General features: G+C 40.2%; 1 long non-coding RNA gene across 1 annotated transcript; it reads left to right on the top strand.

Moving 5' to 3' along the window:
* Window positions 1–1738: 1738 nt before the first annotated feature.
* Window positions 1739–8281, top strand: LINC03035 (long intergenic non-protein coding RNA 3035). Its single transcript, XR_935478.3, has 2 exons — window positions 1739–2510; window positions 8051–8281. It is a non-coding gene; the product is annotated as a long intergenic non-protein coding RNA 3035 (long non-coding RNA).
* The last annotated feature ends 599 nt before the right edge of the window (window positions 8282–8880 follow it).

The following is an 8880-nucleotide window of genomic DNA, read 5'->3' as shown; positions in this document are numbered from 1 at the left end:
TTGAGTTTTTTTGTTTTTTGTTTTTTTTTTTTCCACTTAGGAAAAAGAACCCTCCCAAAACCAACAACCATAGGCTAAAGAATTTAATAAGATGGAGACTTTATTTAGAAACAACATGCCTCTCCTGTGAACAGAGAGCTCACTTGGAAAGAAGCTATGAATGGACCTGCACAATTATTTTCTGGCAAAAACCCAATCACATTTGGAGACCTCAGCAGCTGAACACGGAGTGACAGCTGAAAACTCAAACATGTTACAAAGATCAGAGACATTGCTGAATGCTCCATTTTGAAGTTTGATCCAAAGAACCAATTTATGTCATGTTGGTTTTATTGAAGAGAAGAGCTTTATTCCAAAGGCTCTTTTAAGCCCACATCCCCTCTTTGGCTCTTTCGGCCCTTCACGCCCACAGGATTTCCAATATCCCTGGAAGGTATTTGCCCTTCACAGATGAGTCCAACAGTGCTTAAGAAAGCGTTAGGTGCTTCTTCAAGCCTGCTTCCTCCCCCTTACCCCAGAACTTGGTTTCAAGAGCAGGCAGATCCCTCACATTCATTTAATAAGAGAATACATTCTGCCTGAGGGTTCTTTTGAAATATCTGTGGCTTGTCCTACATGAAAGAGGACAGGGACAAGATAGATAACAATTTTACTACTATCTAAATGTTAAAAAAAACACTAGATACATGGAATAATGAGATAATAGAATGAGGGGAAGTTTTGGGTAAGGGTCTTGCCTCTGGAGGCTGACTGCTGGGGTTTGAGTAGTACCTGTTGTGTGATTGTGGACAGTTCATGTCTTGAAGCCCCTGTTCCTCAACCAGTTAAGTATAATAATCCCTAGTTCATAGTGCTATAGTAAGTATTAAATAAGTTTAAAATGCCCTGTATGTGTAAGCACTCAATACATATGAGATAATAATATTAAATGTAAACTGGCATGGTTCAAAGTATAAATAATAAGATAGGCTGTTGGAAGCACTCAAAGAATACAGAACTGGGGTGATGTGGCTAAGGATAGATTAAGTTAAAATATAGAATTTGCATCTTTTCCATAGCCCTGTCCAGAAGGAATGTGTAAATTTGTTGCCATCCCTAAGGAACTAACAGCTTTCTGTTCCCATTTTGCATTCTATGGGTAATTATTTTACATATATATACTTTTGGAACCTTTCAAAACCACTCCTGAATATTTGGGTGTAAACAGCCCTTCACCCTATTCTGCTGTTCCCCACTTCCTCACAGTGGGTGGTTACATTCCCCACTGCATGTGGACCGCTGGCCAAAGTTCCACTTCTGTGACTGGCCTCCATCCCACCCAGTTCAATCCAATTCTTCGAATCACATCTTAGGGAAACACTTTACTTTTGGGTGTTTTATTAAATTCAGATGCATTATGTTCACTGGGTTTACTATTCTAATTCTAGGATTCAGTTTAAAAGATCAAACTGGTATACTGTGCCACATTTGCACATTTTCAAAATAACCCAGAAAATTTAGTGGAAACCCCTAATTAACATGACTGCACCGCAGTTTATAGTCTCGAACAATCAACACCTTTCTTCCCTTGCAGTAACTTTCCCTTTGCAATTTCATGCCTCACAATTTGTAGCTTACACTTCCTGGAATTTACATTCATTTTGAAGACATGTTTGATGACTATTTCTTTCCTTTGCTATGACCCTGGACCTGAAAAGTGTAACTATTTCTATCTCTGTAGAGAACACAAGTTATGCTCCCACTCAACAATCCCACTGGACCACATGAAGGCTGCATCCTAACTAATGGACCTCTTGGAGAAGGATTTTATTTGATAACTTGGTTAAAGAGCCTGAAATGTTTCATTATCAATTGCTTCATTGTTGTTGGTATAGATTAATCACCAGTACTTTCATTCATTTATTTATCTTCTTGAAACTCTGATTTTCCAATAGGTACAACTCACTTTTTCTGCTTTAATTTTCACTAGTTCTCCCAACCATTAGTTATAAAGAATCATCTAGTTATGGAGAAATCACTAACCCTTTGGGAATCCTGTCCCATAGCTGAAATCTACATTCCTCCAATTGTCTGGCAAGTTTTAAAGTTGTTATTTCTTTGTTTGTTTCAACAGATTTGTCCCTAATCATGTGGAAAGGGCTGCTAAAATACAGAATGTACTTACTCCAAGTGAGATTCCCAGTTCACAGATACAGTAGTAAACCTAATTTGCAAATAAGCCACAGTCATACACATAATATTTCACACACATATTAATATTGTTAATATTAATATTAAGCAGTTATTTGCAAAACAAATTGGTACAATTTCTTTATAAGATTGTTTTACAGGATTTTATCAGCTGTTGCAAGAAAAGAACTGAGCTGCAAAAGGGATTGGAGTTGTATCTCATTACTCTTCCTTAGGGAGGGTATTGAATTTGGTTAAAAATCAGTCCACTCCTTTAGAAAGTATGTTGCAGAGAGACAAATGCAAAATGCCAGATGGTGGAGTTGAAACAGAGACCTCATGTGAGTCAATGAAAAGTCCACTCTGACTTACTATCCTTGTCCTATTAAATGTTATTTACTTTTATTTTTTTCTCCCACTTAACTGAGTTTTACTGTCTTATGAAATATATAAAGCTTCATAATGCACTTTAACCCTAATCTTATTTAAAAGATTATTTTATATAGATCTACTCTAAATTCTCTCAGTCTCTATAATAACGAAATGTTCTTGGTTGACTCATTTCCATGGAACCACCAGTCCTAGGACATAATGAAGATAAATAATGGGTCACTTGTCATTTAAATTAATTCCACTTTTTATTTATATAATCTTGTATAAGAAACTGATTATACTTTAAAAAGGTTCCTAGCTTGTGTCTATTCCTTCCAAGACCATAGAGAAGCTCAAGTGATTGTGTTAAGCTAAATAATACTTCATTATCCTGCCATTATAGAAATGACAAGGCAGAGACAGAAACATATCAATTATCTGGCTTTCTCAGTAACTGAGCTATTCCTCATAAGTAGTTTTGTCAAGAAATGAAGTGTATCCTATTATGAGTTAAAAATATTAATATTAGTCATTTGGCATAGAAATTGGCTAAAAAAAACATTTACTGTGTTCCTCCAGGCCAGTCTGGCAGGAGACTGCCATTTATTAAAAAATCAAAAAACAAAAACAAAACCAATCCCATTGTCAGTCTAGTGAGAGCAAACCAGGTGGCTCAGGGAAGAAGGAAAGAGTTGCTCCAGGACTGACTCTGGCCATGGCTGCACATCCTCTGGTTTCATGTGCTCCCATTTGGGACACTTTTCTTACAGCCTTTTGTGTGCTTCACCCTTGAGTCCATGCAATCAATTCAGGTGACCAGAGTCTCCTGCCTCTGACCTAGAGTTTTCTTTGGCTTATGACTTCCTTTCTCCCAGATTGGTGGTATAAATCACACTGAGTTAGTACCTTGACATCTTGGCCTAAGGATCTATTGTCACAAATTGTCCTATGGAAATTCTGGCTCTAAAGGCACATAAGTGAATCAATGAAATCCTGAAACATACACATGCACACATACATACATTTATTTTTCAGAAAATAAAAATTCCATGCTGAAACAATGTAGCTACCATTACTACTGAATTAGCATGCAGCATGTCTTCACTGTGCGGGAATGCAAGGATGACCACAGGATTGTGGGGATGTGTTGGGCTGCTTAATTTTTCACTTTGCAGTCCAGGATGGCTGTAGTATCCTCTTTCTCATTTAGCCTATCAGCTATCAACAACCACCAGGAAAGTCATATCTCTAGCTGCTCAGTGCAGTTTCCTAAAATTTTATTTGTTAAAATAGCATACACAAAATTGACTTTTTGGGGTATACAAGCCTATAAATTTTAAGATGTGTGTAGAGTTGGGCAACCACTGCCACTGTCAGGACTCTGAGCAGTTCCATCGCTGCCGAAAATATCCCTTGTACCATCCCTTTGAAGTCACACCCTCCCCCTCCCCCTAAACTCTGACACTCTCAGAACTCTTCTCGGTCACTACAATTTTGTCTTTTAGAGGATGTCATATCAATGGAATCACACGGTATGTAACTTTTTGAGACTGACTCCTGTCACTTAGCATGATGCCTTTGGAGATTTATACACATCGTTGTATATATAAAGAAGTCATTCCTTTTTACTACTGAGTAGTATTCCATTACAGGGATATACAATACTTTGCTTATCATTCTCCACTGAAGGACATCTGGGTTATTTCTAGTTTGGGTAATTATACATAGAGTTGCTATTTGTGTAGGTTTTTATGTGAAGTTTTGCATTTCTGTAGAATAATACCCAGGAGTATGCTTGCTGGGTCACCTGGTAAATGCATGTATGCTTTAACTTTTTAAGGAATTGTTTTCTAGAGCTTCTATGCCATTTTACATTTTCTTTTTTCTTTTTCTTTTTCTTTTTTTTTTTTTTTTGAGACAGAGTCTCACTCTGTTGCCCAGACTGGAGCACAGTGGCATGATCTCGGTTCACTGCAACATCCGCCTCCCGGGTTCAAGTGATTCTCCCACCTCAGCCTCCCCAGTAGCTAGAACTACAGGCATGCACCACCATGCCCAGCCAATTTTTGTATTTTTAGTAGAGACAGGGTTTTACCATGTTGGCCAAGCTGGTCTCGAACTCCTAACCTCAAGTGATCCACCCACCTTGGCCTTCCAAAGTGCTGGGATTACAGGCGTGAGCCACCATGCCTGGCCCCCATTTCACATTTTCACCAGCAATATATGAGAGATCATCTTCAGCATCACTTGGTGTTGGGAGTACTTTAAAATTTTAGCCATTCTAATGGGTGTGGTGGAATATTTCACTGTGGTTTGAATTTTCATTTTCCCCAATGAGTAATGATGTTGAGTATCTTTTCAAGTGCTTATTTGCCAACCATGTATCTTCTTTGGTGAAGTGTCTCTTCAAATTATTTGCCCATTTTAAAAAATAGGTGGCTTATTTATTGTTGAGTTTTAAGTGTTCTTTATATATTCTGCATATAAGTCCTTTGTTGGATGTATGATTTGCAAATATTTTCCCTCAGTCTAAAGCCTCTCTTCTCATTCTCTATACATTATCCTTTGCAGAGCAAATGGTTTTAATTTTGTGGAAGTCCAGTTTCTCAATTTCCTCTTTTATAGATGGTGATTTTGGTGTTGTAGCTAAGAACTTTTTGCTTAAGCCAATACCATAAAAATTTTCTTTTATGTTTTCTCCTAAAATGTTTATAATTTCATGTTTTACATTTAGATCTATGATCTATTTTGAGTTAATTTCTGTATGAGATGTAAAGGTTGTAGTTTGAGGTTCATTTTTTTTTCCACATATGGATATCCATTTGTTCCAACATCACCATGGCCTTTTTAAATTTGATTCTTTCATTTTGTTGAGATATAGAAAACCAATTGCCCAAACTTATTAGAACAGCTCATAAAAATGGAGGGTTTTTTTTAATACCTAGAGTGGTTTTTACTAAATGGTCTTTTCCCCTTCTTATTTTGGGTTGTGCTCTATAGTAATACCTGGATAACTGAGGTTCAGCATACGTAAAGACACTCTAACTGCTTAAGCTGAAATACTATTTCTTTTCTTTCTTTCTTTCTTTCTTTCTTTTTTTTTTTTTTTTTGAGACAGAGTCTTGCTCTGTCACTCAGGCTAGAGTGCAGTGATGTGATCTTGGCTCACTGCAACCTCCGCCTCCTGGGTTCAAGGGATTCTTGTGCCTCAGTCTCCTGAGTAGTTGGGACTACAGATGTGCACCACCTTGCCTGGCTAACTTATTTATTTGTTTATTTTTCTATTTTAAGTAGAGACAGGGTTTCACCATGTTGGCCAGTTCAGTCTTGAACTCCTGAACTCAGGCAATCCACCTGCCTCAACCTCCCAAAGTGCTAGGATTACAGGTGTGAGCTGAGAAATATTATTTGAATGAGATCTCAAAAGATGTTGGTGTGTGAAAACAAAACAGAAAAACAAAAACAAAAACAAAAATACCTTCCAAGGAATGGGTCTCAGAGGTAGAAAAGCCTAATAGGTGCTCACAAAAATGATAAGATTTCACATCAGCTAGATCCAGAAGATGAGAATGATGAGGTGCATAGACACTGCTATGTCTATATTATGTAGATAACAGGAAGCCATTGGGGTCATCTGAGCCCAGTTGTTTTTAGTTTGCATGCCTACTGTCAGTATTTAAATGTGTGTTTTTGGAAGTGATCATCTTCTTACTGACAAATAGTGTTATGGGTTGAATTGTGTCCACCCAATGGATGTATTAAGTCTTAAACCCTAGTACCTATAAATATAATCTTATTTGGAAGTAGGATCTTTGTAAATGTAATTGAGTTAAGATAGGCCATTAGGGTGTGCCCTAATTCAATATAACTGGTGTCCTTATAAGAAGAGGGAAATTTGGGCCCAGAAACAGAGAGTGGGGCATGCCATGTGATAGCAAAGCAGAGACTGGAGCAGTGCAGCTTCCAGCCAAGGAACACTGAGGCTCTACAGCCACCACCAGAAGTGAGGGAGGCAAGGAAGTCTTCCCCACTCCAGTTGAGAGGGAGCACGGCCCTACCGTCACCTTGATTTTGGACTTTCAGTCTCTAGATCTGTGAGAGACTAAATTTCTGTTGTTTTAAGTCACCCAGTATATGGTACTTTGTTTCGAAAATCTTAAGAAATGAATCCAAACAGTTTACATCTTGTTGGCATTATCAATTTGTATTACTAAAGTTTTAGGTAGGATCTGAAAGATAAACTTTGGCCCTGTTCCCTATTGAACGCTCTCAAATTCAAAATTAAGAGAGTCTGGCTTAGAAATGTGAATGGGAACCCATGAACTAGGTTTATAGGTCAAACACTCTCTGCCCTGGGCATAGCTATAGATGTGCAGTAGGATAACTGCATGTAGTAATTGAAATATTAATATAGGCACGTTCTGGCCCAAAGTCAGGAGTGAGATGTAAGAATATCCCATGTGGTTCTCCTGGCTGCTAGGGATTCTCTGGGCTGCACGAAGCATGTCTAGATGCTGTACTTTTGAGTGAGTAGCGAGCTGGGTCTGTGTTATGACAGCAGGCTGGGATGATTTTGGAAGAGTTTGTGATAGCTCAGAAAGCAGGGAGGCTGGGAGAGCGCTGCCAGAGGGCTTGGAGCCCACCCAGGTCTGTTTGTCTTACTGCCCAGGCGCCTCCCTCAGCTCTGCTTGGAAGCAACCAAAAGGAGTGCTCCGGAAGGAATTCACAGAGTGCAGGCAGGGACCCAGTTTCCGACTAGTTAGGGGCATCTGATGGAGAAGAGAGTTCACTTCAAAAGGCCTAAAAATAAATACGTAATGACTAGAGACGAATTTTTTTGTGGCTTGATGTGGAAGCGCCTATCCATTCCTTTAAGACAAATAGCTAGAAGTAAGAGATGTGTTACAGAGCTGGCCAAATTAAACACGAAGCAGGCTGTTGGCGATGCCTCCTCCCAGCTGACAACCACCTGGGGTGGAGGAATTGCCGTATCAGCTCTCAGAAGAGCAGCACTCAGCCCCTTCATGAGTTTGTTCTGGGTGCAGGAATGGTGGCTGTCGTGCCTTCTTAGGGGAAGGTGGGCTAGGCAAGGGAGGCCAGGGCATTTCAGCACCAGAGACAGCCCTGTGGCTGCGCGGTGAGACAGTGCTCATTCCTGGAAGGCTCTCCCAATGCCCCTGGACTGTGCAGGAGCTCCGGGGAGCTTCTGAATTGTTTCTCACTCCCAGATATTGGTATTTTTCTCCTGGAATAATTCAGAACTGCGGTGAACCTCAACCCTAGTCACTCTTCTCAGGGTTGCAACTTCTATTTTGTCTCTAGCATCTACAAGTGACTTCTTCCCTGTTATGGGTTGAATGAGTCCCCCGAAAATCATAGGTTGAAGTCCCAGTACCTTTGAATGAGGCCCAATATGCAAATAAGGTCATTGTAGGTGTAATTAGTTAAGTTAAGGTCATTAGGGAGGGTAGGTCCCAATCCAGTTATGAGTGGTGTCTTTATAAAACAGGGAAATCCGGACACAGACATGCGCAGAGGGAGAAGGCTATGTGAGGAAGAAGGCAGTGGTTGGAGTGATGATTCTCCAAGCCTAGGAAGGCCAGTGACTGGCAGCAAAGCACCAGAAACGAGGGGAAGAAACATGGAACCGATTCCTTCTCAGGCCTCAGGAGGAACCAACCCAGACGAACCTTGATCTCAGGCTCTAGCCTCTGTTGCAATAAAACATTTTATTGTTGAAGCCACTAGTATTTGGTACTTTGTTACAGCGGTCCTAGGAAACGGATGCACTCCCCAGCATTAAATATGAAATCAGACAGGAGGCACTAGGGGTGAAGAGTGGGCTGGGGGTCCCATCCACTTCTCCACAGTGGGGTTGCCATGGAGAGGCTAGGGTGGCTGGCATACATCCTACTCCCTCCATGGACCTGACCCCACCAGTGGCCCTGGACTGTTTTTACCAAGCCCCGCTTCCCTGCTGCATGCTGAAGGAGCCCTTCAGGGCAGCAGTAATGGGGAGAGAGACTAACGGGCCAGGACTCCAGGTCGCAGACACATGGACAAGACATGACAATGAACTTCGTTTAAATTTAATCAGAGCCTTGAAGACAGGAAGCTACAGGCTTTAATTCCCGAAGGGATGATATATTAGGATTCCAAGTATATCAGTTATTCTAAAAATAAAAGTAAACATGTGAAGGAAATAAATTAATAAACACACTAGCCAAGTTTTCATTAGAAGGCTGCTGCTTTTCCTGCCCTAGAAATCGCTTCCTCAGTCAGGCCTGAGCTTCTCTTGTAGGCTGACCCTTGCAGTGATGAATGTGACATTCCAGAACG

Source organism: Homo sapiens, chromosome 18, assembly GCF_000001405.40.
Source record: "Homo sapiens chromosome 18, GRCh38.p14 Primary Assembly".
In the NCBI taxonomy this organism is placed as follows: Eukaryota; Metazoa; Chordata; class Mammalia; order Primates; family Hominidae; genus Homo; species Homo sapiens.
Note: the sequence above shows the minus strand (reverse complement) of the source record. Positions and strands in the feature narration are given on the sequence as shown.